The following is a 12,930-nucleotide window of genomic DNA, read 5'->3' on the forward strand; positions in this document are numbered from 1 at the left end:
CTACCAAAAAAAAAAATAAATAATAAGCAGGCGTGGTGGCATGAACCTGTAGTACCAGCTACTTAAGAGGCTAAAGATGGAGAATGACTTGAGCCCAAGAGTTCAAGGCTGCAGTGAACTGTGATCGTGCTACCCTACTCCAGTCTGAGCAACAAAGAGAGACACCATCTCTGGGGATAAAAAATGGCCATAATGATGAATATCACTTATCGTGCCTTTTTATGCTTGTGCTAAATAGTTGTGAAATACTGCTAAATTTTTGTAAAATAAGTTCCTAGAAGTGAATTTGCTTTGCAAAAGGTTGTGTTATACTTTCCATTTTAATATATATTCTCAAATTGCTCTCCTGTAAGGCTATTTAGTTTACGCTTCTCTACACAATGTGCAAGATTATACACATTCCCAATACTGGATACATATTTGATCTTGTTCAGCCTAAGAGGAGAAAATGGCATTCCTTTTAATTCTTCATTGTGGATGAAAGTGAAGCACTTTTTATCAGTTTGTTAGTCATTTACATCTTTCTTCTGTGAATTACTAGTACAGTTGCTTTGCTTGCTTTTCTGTTTGCATGTTCTTCTTTTTTCCTCAAAATTTGTAACAGTTTTTTGTTTTGTGTTGTTTTTTATTTCTAAGAAAGCTCTGTGTTCCCATAATCAAGTCTGCAGAGATCCTGATGAGCAAAGCGGTCAGCCTGGCCTGAGAGCTCTGCTTCCCGCTCCCCATAGTCAAGCGTTTTCAAGTCACCTTGCTGATTTTTTTGGCATTTACCTCTACATTGCTAAATAGCATGCTTATCACTGCTGTTTCTAGTTTTTCATTTTAGATGTTATATTTTGATCTCCTACTGTGAAAGATGAGGATTTCTTTTCAGCCCCCAGCCTCCGTGCTTCCTGTCTTTGCGTTCTCTCATTGTGGTTTTGTGTACCTGGAGTTCACATTAAGATGCTGTGAGTGTCATTCATAGATTAGCCATGTAGTAGTATACACTGCTGCTGCTTTTTCTTTTACACAACCTTTTATTCACCCTCCACTTAAAATTATTTTTGTCTGTTTACTTAGTTTTCTTTTGCTTTTTTTTGAGACGGAGTCTCACTCTGTCGCCAGGCTGGAGTGCTATGGCACGATCTCGGTTCACTGCATCCTCCTACTCCTGGGTTCAAGTGATTCTCCTGCCTCAGCCTCCCAAGTAGCTGGGATTACAGGCACATGCCACCACACCCAGCTAATTTTTGTATTTTTAGTAGACGGAGTTTCACCATGTTGGCCAGGATGGTCTCGAACTTCTGACGTCAGGTAATCCACCCGCCTCGGCCTCCCAAAGTGCTGGAATTACAGGCGTGAGCCACCACACCCAGCCTGTTTACTTAGTTTTCTATGTAAATGTCACTAATTCAACCCCAACTCTTTGTGAGATATCCCCACATATCACAGGGGTCAGGGATCACAGCAGTGTCATCTTGAGATCTCTCTGGAGCCTCTGACCTCCTCCATCATGGCTGCCCTCTGTGCCTGGTGCACAGATTCCCTGTTAGTTCTTTGCCTCTCTCTTTTTTGATCTTCTGTGTCCTACATCCTATTCTTTTTCTTTTTTTTTCCTCCAGTATCTCCCTGAGAATGGGTTCATAGAAGGTAAAATTTTATGGCCTTGCATCTTTGTTTTACCCTAATGCTTGATGGTTTCCTTGGGTATAACATTTTAGGTCAGCAACTATTTCCCTTTATAATTTTGTGGGAATTGTTCCATTGTCTTCTATTTGCCAGTGTTGCAGCAAGAAGAAAATAATTCCAGTCCTTTGTGACTTTTTTCTCTCCAAAAGCTCATAGGAGGTTCAGGCTGTTGCCAGGATTCTAAACTTCCAGTGTGGTTTGCCTTGCTGTATAGCTTAAGGTCTTTTTTTTTTCTTTCTTTCTTTCTTTTCTTTTTTCTTTTTTTTTTTTTTTGTCATGCTAGTCACTCACTGCACCCTTTCAATACAGTAATTCATGTCTTTATTTTCTGGAATTATTTCATTGGTAATTTCTTCTACTCTGTTTTCTTTTTCTGGAACTCCCTTTACCCTGGTCCCCTAATTATCATATTTTTTTCTCCTGTTTTTCTGTCTCTTTGCCTTATAGTTTTGTTTTCTGGGATTAAACTTGAGGCTTCCCTAAGTTTAATCTTCCAAATTCTATTAAATGCTTCATTTCTGCTATCTTTTTTTTGTTTTTGCATCACTTCAGTTTTCTTACTTTAATTGTGGCAAAATACGTATAACATAAAATTTACCATCTGAACCATTTTTAAGTGTACAGTTCAGTATTGTTGAGTATATTCACATTGTTGTGTAACCAATCTCCAGAACTTTTTCATTTTGCAAAACTGAAACTGTTACCCATTAAATACTGACCTGCCATTCCCCTTGTCCCCCAGCCACCATTCTACTTTGTATCACTATGAATTTGACTACTCTAGGTACCTCATGTAAGTGAAATCATATAGTATTTGTCCTTTTTGTCTGGCTTATTTCGCTTAGCATAATGACCTCAAGGTTCATCCACATTATAGCATGTCAGAATTTCATTTCTTTTTAAGGCTGAATAAAATTCCATCATATATGTTTGCTATCATATATTTAACTTCTAGGATTTTTTTGTTCCCTCAGTTTTTTATAGCATCCTGTTCTTGTTTTCTAGATGTAATGTCACATACGAATTTCGCTGAAGATTGTAGGTTGATTCTATCACCAAATCTCCCTACCTGGGTTGTTTCCTACAGTTCCTTTGTTCCACTGGTATCTTTAGTTCTCTATCTTTATGCTTGAGGTTTGACTGCTCATGTTTAGGTGGAGGCTCTGCAAAGCTGACCCCTGCCTGGGCCTGTGTATGCGGCCTGCAACTATGGTCTTCATAGTAGAGAGCTGTTCCTGTGGCATGTCCATGACAAGCTCCTGATGTCAGTGTCTTTAGGTCCTTCCTCTTGGGCTCATCCATTCCCCAGAGAAGGGCCTTCCAGTCTCCTGCTTGAGGGCTTAGACTTGGCAGCCAGGATTATGGGATCAGTCAGAGAAGAGGCCTGGGGGTGGAGAATGACTATCTCAGCCCTCACCTTGTAAATTCGTTTAATTCCCTTGTTTTCAGTGTATCACTTGTGCCTCAACTGCTCAATATCCACCTGGTCCAGAGGCTTCATTTTATACTCTGGTGTGCAGGGAAGAGAGAGTGTCTGGAGCTTTGGCTGCTCTGTGAACACATCTCTAACCCAGTCCTCCTGTTTTTAACCACCTTCATCCCCCGACCTGAAGCACCTCTTGCCACAAATTTCCTGAGCCTTTGGGGGATTTTGTACCATAGTCAGGTCTTTGCCCTTCCCCACTGCTGGCTTGGGATTTAGTTTGCTTAGGTCTGTTATGTTAGTTATTTCTTGTCCATCAACTTTTCAGCTGCCAAGTTTTATTTTCTTTCCTGTTTTCTTTTTCGTTGTCAGTTAATGCTTTTGGGGGAAAAAAAGAAATTCCTTTCTGTGGTTTCGTGGGGCTTCACAATGGAATGAGACTGTGAGTGCATGCGTTTCATTGCTATCTGCCTGGAGGCCTCAGAGCGCTTTATTCGTTTCTCCTGAAGGATATTAATCATATCTGTCACAGAGGTTCCAGATATCCTTTGTGTGTGTGTGTGTGTGTATACACACACACACACACACACACACACACACATTATATAAATACACATACTCCTTTGTTCTGGATGGCCATTTATTTCAGCATCACTTATTTCATCATCTCTCTTGAACTACCTGATAGTCCTAGGTATGAATGGGAACTGAGTGGTGTCTGGACTTGCTGTTCCCTTCTGTGGCTCTGTGGGTCTGGTGCTCTGCCACAGGTTGCTGCTGAGCAGAGAAATGAGAGCATGATCTGAATGCGGCACAACATCCTGGGTCCCAGCCAGGGCCCTGTGAGTGTCAGCCAGTGCTGTGATATGCATTGTCGTCATGATTTTTATGCCCTGGCATTTTTCATTATTTCATTATACTTGTTGGTGTTCCAGATAAATTACTACAAATAATTTTATTTCTTCTTTCCAATATTTATACCTCTTGTACTTTTTTGGGTTTATTGCATTCATGACAGTCTGAAACAACTAATACTTATTAATGCTGGACATTCTTGTTTTATTTTCCATTAATAGCAATATCTTTAAGATTTTTGTATTGTTTTCTGATGAATAGTTTATCAATTAAGGGAAGCTTACATCTGTTTTGAATTTACTGAGTTTTTTTAAATCCAGAAATAGATAAGAATTATAGCAAATTCCTTTTTGGCAGTTAATGAGCTATTCATATGGTTTCTTTTTAAACTTATTTATGTAATTAATAGCATAAATAGATTTTCTAGTAGGAAAAAATTCTTACATATCTGGGGGCAAAATTCCAATTTGGTTATGGTGTATTACTGTTGTGGGAAATCTCTACTTGATTATGGTTAATATTTAATATGAAGCATATTATTTTTTATAACTCTTATTGATGAAGAGACATTTGGCTTGTGGTTGCTTGCTTTAAGTATAAATAAAGTTTTGTGTTAATAAGGCCTGATTTTTTTAGTTACGATGTTAGTGAGCTCTAAAATCCTGTATCATCTTTTTATATAGTCAAAAATGCAATAAGGGCCAAGTGCAGTAGCTCACACCTATAATCTCAGGGCTTTAGGAGGCCAAGGTGGGAGAATCGCTTGAGGCCAGGAGTTTGAGACCAATCAGGTCAACATAGCAAGACCTCCTCTTACAAAAATGTTTTAGAAAAATAGCTGGGCATAGTGGCACATGCCTGTAGTCTCAGGTACTTGTGAGGCTGAGGTGGGAGGATTGCTTGAGCCCAGGAGTTCAAGGTTGCAATGAGCTGTGATCATGCCACTGCACTCCAGTGTGGGCAACAGAGTGAGTCCCTGACTTTAAAAAATAAAAAAAAAAAGTAATATTTATTTTACTGCCTTCTCTAGTAGTATTGGTGACAGAATTAATTCTCAGCCAAAGGATTTTCTTTTTTTTTTTTTTTGAGACGGAGTCTTGCTCTGTCACCCAGGCTGGAGCGCAGTGGCACGATCTCCCCTCACTGCAAGCTCCGCCTCCTGGGTTCACGCCATTCTCCTGCCTCAGCCTCCCGAGTAGCAGGGACTACAGGCGCCCACCACCACGCCCGGCTAATTTTTTGTATTTTTAGTAGAGACGGGGTTTCACCATGTTAGCCAGGATGGTCTTGATCTCCTGACCTTGTGATCCGCCTGCCTCGGCCTCCCAAGGTGCTGGGTTTACAGGCATCAGCCACCGCACCCGGCCAAAGATGTTTTATACTCTGGTTATAAGACTCTGACTCTCCAGTCTGACAAACGAAAACTTGAAACTTTAAAAAAAAAAAAAATTGCTTGGAAGTTGGGAAACTTCTCATTTAAAAGTTCCAGACAATTTTTGTGTTCTCTAACAGTGAAGACTGAAGTTTTCCCTGGGACTGATACCCTTGTTTTGGTGAAAGTCTTCTGAAAGGACCTGTTAGTTGTGCAGAAGTAAGGCTAGGCCTCCTCCTGTTCTCGGGGCTCAGGGTGTGAGTGGTCTGAGGCCCGCCATCGACCCCGGTGCCTCAGTGGCAGATCCAGTGTCTCTCATCCCCTGTGGCCGCTTGATCTGCTGAATTCTGAGTCGGATGTGTTGAAGTCTCTTCCTCTGAACTGTGGTTTGTGTAAAAAGCTTTGATTTCTAAGAGATTATGTCGAACCATACATAAAGGTTTCTAGCCCTATCTTCTTGGTGGTGGCTTTTACCTTTAATTTTAGTTAGTCCTTTTAATCTTGAAGTATACATTTTGCAATACCAATATTACTGTTTCCATCTATGTTTTGAGGTTAGAAATCAGAGTTGGAGGCAGGGTCTGGGCCCAGGTGCTCTTGCCAGGGCTGCTTTCTAGGGTAGAATGGAGGAAGAGCCTTGGGCAAGGGCCAAGACCACTGGCCACTGTCGCCAGGGGAGCACTCAAAAGTCAGGGCTGTGCCTGGGAGCAAGAGGGACTCCAAAGACCCAGAGCAGATCTGGAGCACTGTGAGTTGGAGGAGTTGGGGTCGGACAGCAGCCTACAAGGGTGAGGGCGGTGAGAAACCAGGGTGAACAGAGAAGGACAGATGTGGCCCGCTCAGGGATCCACACCAGCGTTTTGTGGCATCTGATGCCTAGTCACCAGCACGCATGGGATCTTGCCTGGATTTGTGAGCTGACGCTTCTGCAACACTGAGCCTAGCAGCGCCAGGGTTCCCCTGGACAGAAACAGCCACATGGCCAAGCAGAACTACTTAGCAGCTATTTAAAGGGATAACTGGAAACCCTTCATCCTAATTGGGCAAGATTGCTTACCAGCTTGCGAAGTAGGGCATATGCTTAAAGTACTTTTTAAACATTTTTTTAAATGATGCTGCTAAATGAAAACACTTCTAATTTCACAGGGAGGATCCGTTTTTGCCAAATGAAGTTCACTTAGCTCCTTTTATTGGTGCTTTGATGAAGAGGGGCGTGGTCTGTCCCTTTAGCCTTGTTGTTCTTGATCTGGTTTTTCTTTTTTTATTTTTATTTATTTTGAGACGGAGTCTTTCTCTGTCGCCCAGGCTGGAGTACAGTGGCACAATCTTGGCTCACTGCAACCTCTGCCTCCCGGGTTCAAGTGATTCTCCTGCCTCAGCCTCCCTAGTAGCTGGGACTACGGGCGTGCACCACCACGCCTGGCTAATTTTTCATATTTTTAGTAGAGACGGGGTTTCACTGTGTTAGCCAGGATGGTCTCGACCTCCAGACCTCGTGATCCATCTGCCTCGGCCTCCCGAAGTGCTGGGATTACAGATATGAGCCACCACGCCCGGCCTCTTTATTTATTTTTTATTGTAAAATACACATAACAAGAATTTATCATTTTAACTGTTTTAAGTGTACAGTTCAGAGGCATGAAGCACGTTCACATGGTTGTGCAGTCATCACTACTTTCTATTTCCAAAATGTTTTCATCATCCCAAACTGAGCTCTGTATGCTTTAAACACTGGGGAGGGAGCTTCCTATTCCCGGTCTTCAACCCCTAACCACCATTTTGCTTTGTCTCTGAATTTACCCATTCTGGGCACCTCATAGACGTGGACTCACACCGCATGTGCCCTTTGATGAGGGGCTGATTTCACTCAGCACAGCTTCCTTAGGCCCATCTGTGTTGGGGCGTGTGTCAGCCACGCTGCTTCTGCATCCATCTGTCCACCTTCTTCTCTCCGTAGCCCCTACCCCATCCTAGTTCAGGAGTTGTGGTTTTCCTTGTGTCTTCCAGAAACACAGCTGGGAGACCGCCTACCACTATGGCTTGAAAACCTGTACTGACTCTGTAGCCAGCGGAGTTAGACCCATAATCCTGGCCTGTGTGGAAAGACTGGCTTTTTCTAATAGGAGTACTTAGATGTTTTATTTATCCTCCCTTTTCTCAGAGGCATGGAACGCAGCTCCCCTCCCTGCCCTCACTACCACCTACCTGAAATACGGGAAGATTAGGTCCTTCGTGTCCTTAAGGAAAAGGGGAGAGTGTTTTGGTTGCCAGCAATGTGGGCTCCAGGCCATCATCAAGGCAACTCATCAAGGTTGTAGAATTAGAGGCAAGAGGATAACAGAGGCAGAGGATAAGAGCGGAGGCTCCAGTGGGCTGTGGAGGGAGAGCAGAGGCCAGCATGCCCCCTGGAGGTGGTGGCCGGTGGCTGAGAGGAGCATCTAGGAAGACCGGAAACTCAGCCACCCTGCAGGCTAAGGGCCCACATTGTGCCTCTTCTGACCTGCCAAATTCCTGTGAAATGTGGGAGAAAGTGAGGGGACTCACAAGGTGGGCTTTTAGAGACTGCACTGGACTCCAGTTAAAGGTTCTTGGCCGGGCACAGTGGCTCATGTCTGTAATCCCAACGCTTTGGAAAGTTGAGACAGAAGGATTGCTTGAGCCCAGAAGTTCAAGGCTGCAGTGAGTCATGATCATGCCACTGCACTACTGCCTCGGTGACAGAGTGAGACCCTGTCTCTAAAACAAAAGAAAGGTTCTTACCATGAGTTAGCCTCATTTTCTGGCTTTCCAGCGTCATTTGAAGGAAGTATCTATATCAAAACTGCCCATTTACACTTTTTTCCATATAAATAGAAATACTAGATGTCATGCCAGCTTTAGGAAGGAAAAACAGGATTTTCAAAATAAAATATTGTCAGAACGTGTCCTCCTTCTGGAGACTGAGGGTGATTTAAGTTTCTTTGTCGTCTTTCCTCCCATGGGCCGTTTGTCTCAGGTTTGACTCAGTAGGTCAAATATGCCAGCAGCTGGTGCTGCAGCATGACACCACCCAACACCAAAGCCATCATGTCACCATTCAGAAAAAGGAGGCCTTGATATTTGCTGCTGTTCCCTCTCCGTCCCCCAGGACAGCATGTGAGCCTATTTAGATAATTACAGTCCCAAGTGAATCTGCACTGAGCATTTTTTCCATTCCCTTACTCATGAAATATCGTCCATTTGGGAAAGAGAAGTAATTTCACCACAAGACACTTATGATTTTAGAGGCTGAATTCAGCCTTTCTAAGGATAAGAGGTTAACAGGGGGCTGAAGTTTACTTTTCTAGTATAAACTAAACTTAATCTTGGAACAAAATTCCTTAGAACTAATTCTTTAATTATTACATATTATTTTCTTAGTAAGCACATCCAAAAATACAGAAGTGCTGTTTCCTTTAAAAAAAATTTCTCTTACTAAAAATATTCTCTTTGGAGCGCTAGAACATTATAATGTGAACAAAATCATGTTTTCTAAAACTGTGTATTAACTTATGACTTAATGTCTCTCCACATAGGCCAGGAATATGGGTCTAACTCCACTGGCTACAGAGTTGCAAAGGGTTTTCAAGCCATGGTGGCAGGTGGTCTCTCAGCCAGAACTGTGGTTCTGGAGGAGAGGAGGAAACCCACAACTCCTGAATTATGATGGGGATTGGGGTATTCAGAGAAGAAGGTGGATGGGTAGATGCAGAAGCATCATGGCTGACATGCACCACAACATGGATGGGCCTGTGCTGAGTAAAAAGAAGCCCGTCATCAAAGGGCACATGCCGTATGGTAGAGGGACACAGTCACACGTGTGTTGTTGGGAGGCAGAGTCTAAGGTGGAAGAACCTCTTTGAGGGCAATTTGGCAGAATCCGTCAAAATGAATTCCACCTGTGTGTAGAGACGTGCTTAGGAGGATAATTATTGCAGTAGTGTTTGTGATAACAAGACTAGAAACACCCTAAATGCCTGCTGTCTCCATCCATGTGATGAACCTGCATGTGTCATCAGAGAGTGAAGTAGGCAGTGGTGACGGAATTAAAGCTAGCAGTGATGAAATATTTACCATGTGAACGACATTGTCTAAGTGCATTTGGTCTTGACCACAATCCCATGAGTCAGGCATTTTATATCCAGTTTACGAATATGAAACCAAAGCATCAAGAGGCTCCATGACTGCTCAGAGTCACACTCTAGTAAGGGTCAGAGCTGGGACTGAACTCCTGCTGTTGGGCCCAGCATCCAGTCCCTTGGCCTCCACACTGAAACTGTTCCTCCAGATGTCATGAAGGACCTAGCTCTGTATATCTTGGTAAGGGAGCAGAACTTGCCGTCATCTGCATAAAAGAGGGGAACTATGCATGCATGTTTGCATAAGTGCAGGGCAGCGCTGTCCTGTAGAACCTTCTGTGATGATGGGAATGTTCTAGATCTGTGCTGGCTGAACCTTAGCCACAGGTGGCTGCTGGGCACTTAAAAGGTGGCTAATGTGACTAAGAAATTGAATTTTAATTTTAAAATTTATTAAATTTTTTTTTCTTCAACTTTTAACTTCTGGGGTACACGTTCAGGATGTGTAGGTTTGTTACATAGGTAAACATGTGCCATGGTGGTTTGCTGCACAGATCAACAAATCACCCATCTTAATTCTTATTAAGAATAAGCCCAGCATCCATTAGCTATTCTTCCTGGTGCTCTCACTCCCTCCACGCCCCCATACAGGCCCCAGTATGTGTTGTTCCCGCACATGTGTCCATGTGTTCGCATCATTCAACTCCCACTTATAAGTGAGAAAATGCAGTGTTTGGTTTTCTCTTCCTGTATTAGTTTGCTGAGGATAATGGCTTCCAGCTTCATCCATGTCTCTGCAAAGGATGTGATCTCGTTCCTTTTTATGGCTGCATAGAATTCCATGGTGTATATGTACCGTATTCTCTTTATTCAGTCTATCATTGATGGGCATTTGGGCTGATTCTGTGTCTTTGCTCTTATGACTAGTGCTGCAGTGAACATATGCATGCCTGTATCTTTGTGATAGAATGATTTATGTTCTTTTGGGTATATGCCCAGAAATGAGATTGCTGGGTCAAATGGTATTTCTGCTTCTAGGTCTTTGAGGAATTGCCACACTGTGTTCCACAATGATTGAACAAATTTACACTCCGACCAGCAGTGTAAAAGCATTCCTTTTACTCCACAAACTTGCCAGCATCCATTGTTTCTTGACTTTTTAATAATCGCCATTCTGACTGGTGTGAGATGGTATCTCATTTTGGTTTTTATTTGCATTTCTCTAATAAGTGATGTTGAGCTTTTTTTCATATGTTTCTCCGCCACGTGAATGTCTTCTTTTCCAGAAGTGTCTGTTCATGTACTTTGCCCACTTTTTAAAGGGGTTGTTTTCTTCTTGTAAATTTGTTTAAGATTTTAACATTTAAATAGCCACGTGTGGCTGCTGGCTGTTCTTTGGGGCAATGCAAGGTCAAACATAGACAGAAGGTTGTAAAATAAAGGATCACTGGATTTTGTGGTTTGCAAACCCTACCTTTAAAAAAGCTTCTGCAGGCCAGGCGTGGTGCGTCACGCCTGTAACCTTAGCATTTTGGGAGGCCGAAGTGGGCAGATCACTTGAGGTCAGGAGTTCGAGACCAGCCTGGCCAACATGGTGAAACCCCGACTCTACTGAAAATACAAAAATTAGCCATGCATGGTGGCATGTGCCTGTAGTCCCAGCTACTCAGGAGGCTGAGGCACGAGAATTGCTTGAACCTGGGAGGCAGAGGTTGCAGTGAGCCGAGATTGTGCCACTGCACTCCAGCCTGGACAACAGAGCAAGACTCCGTATCAAAAAAAAAAAACAAAAAAAAACCTCTGCAGAAATGTGAAGTTGGAAGAACAGTTTTCATAACTGTTTATTTCAGAACCACTAACTTAATCTAGCCACTTCATCTGAGAGATGAGAAAACTAAAGGCAGAAAAGTTGAGTCATTTTCCTGAAGTCACACTGAGTTGCTTTAATGAGAGAAGGAGGAGCTGGTCACAGTTTGGGTTGGTTTGTTACTCTTTAGAGCAGTGGACATTTAGGTTAGCCAGGGGCTTCATTCAATTTGATGTCAGCTCAGTTCTTAGCGTGGCCAGTTGGTTCCTGGAAACTGCAGCTTTGGGTGAAACCATATACCATAAGCCATGGGAACTCAACTGTGGCTCATATCAGTTAACCTACAGTGAAACTGGTTTCGTCACACAGCACATCACCATTTCACTTAACATCACAGTGTCCAAGAACCTCTCAGTGCCATTAAGTGAGGACTTATTAGAAAGAAAGAACCAGACTTTTGTCTCCCAGGCTCCCAGAACTCCATGAGGAATCTTGTAGTGGCTCGCCCTTTCCTGAAGCCCCAGAATTCATCCTGCCTCCCGTACACCCCAACCTCAGGCTGTCCTGCCTGCCTGTGCCACAGCATGGGTGAACCACGTGCAGTAGAACCACACTTCCCTGTGGGTGTACTTGTCAGCCCCTCATGCATGGAGGGCTTTGGAAATGTTTGTGTGGACTCTACTCCCAGCCTTGAGGGCTGAACCACTAGTGAGTCGTGCAGGTGGCTCATGAGAAGGTGTCTCCGGCGTTTCCTTGGGGGACCTTCTGGACACAGGTAAATGCTCAGCAAGGAGCAGGGTGGGGCTTAGGGGGACTGCCAGTCCACTGACCGTGGGTGACTCCACGAGGAGAGGAGCCAGCAGAGCTGTGCATAGCTGTGACCTTTTTTAGAAGCAGCAAGCAAGGAAGAAGAGTGGAATTTATGAAAATGAGGTAGCAAACTTAACAGAAAGGCAGAAGAAAGGAGAGGAAGAAAATTCCAGGAAAGTGTTTGTCCAGAGGCCTGGAGTGTGGTCCTGGGGACAGAAGATGGCAGGGAATCATGTGGGTCCTGAACTGAGAGCACAGAGAAGACCTGCTCTCAGGATGCCACAGAAGAACCAGAGGCCCCTGCTGAGCCACTGGGTTTCGCCTGCCTTCAGGCGCTGTGCAGGGCCAGCACTGCCTGAGCTGCTGGTGGGCCAGAGGAAGTGGACCCAGCCAGGGGGCAGGAGGTGTTGGCCCGTGCTTGCAAGGCAACCAGACCCTGTGTCACGATGCCAAAGCCAGGGAACCTCAGGGAGGAAATGCTGCGGGTGGGGCCTCCTGAGTGTCTGTCAAATGAAAACAGAGGAAGTAAGAAAGATAGGGCCCAGCCACTCCTGAGATGTAAATCTCCTGTGATTCTGTCTCCAGGGAGAGGCTGTGCAGCATCTGCCTGAACATCTCTGGGACGCAGCCGTCCTCTTGCCATGGGAAGGCTCTTGCCCACAGAGGAGTAAAGGGAAGGGCACTGCTTCCTGGACCAGCTCACCGTGGTCACTGTCTCCTCTTTCCCAGTCTCAAACCCCAAGTGCCGTCAGTGCAGATAGTGAGAGGAACCATTTAAAAAGCAAATTATTCCAAATTAATCTCCAGTTGAAATCCCAACAGACTTTCTTTATTCTTGAACTTAACAAAATAATTAAAAATTCACCTGGAAGAATAAACAAGAAGAAAGTTTAAA

The 12,930-nt window shown here is 43.8% G+C and overlaps 1 protein-coding gene across 2 annotated transcripts in view, besides 1 other annotated feature; it reads left to right on the forward strand.

Annotated features, from left to right (window-relative positions):
• ADORA2B (adenosine A2b receptor) overlaps window positions 1–12,930 on the forward strand; it is a 125,385-nt gene that overhangs the window by 24,159 nt on the left and 88,296 nt on the right. The gene's annotated exons all lie outside the window — the stretch shown is intronic.
• Window positions 7,221–7,720: an enhancer, noted in NCBI's record as "H3K4me1 hESC enhancer chr17:15785055-15785554 (GRCh37/hg19 assembly coordinates)". NCBI's record gives its function as "activates a minimal SCP1, AML or CMV promoter by ChIP-STARR-seq in primed H9 embryonic stem cells {active_cell/tissue: H9 hESC(primed)}" and the evidence as "EXISTENCE:reporter gene assay evidence [ECO:0000049][PMID:30033119]".

Source organism: Homo sapiens, chromosome 17, assembly GCF_000001405.40.
Source record: "Homo sapiens chromosome 17, GRCh38.p14 Primary Assembly".
In the NCBI taxonomy this organism is placed as follows: Eukaryota; Metazoa; Chordata; class Mammalia; order Primates; family Hominidae; genus Homo; species Homo sapiens.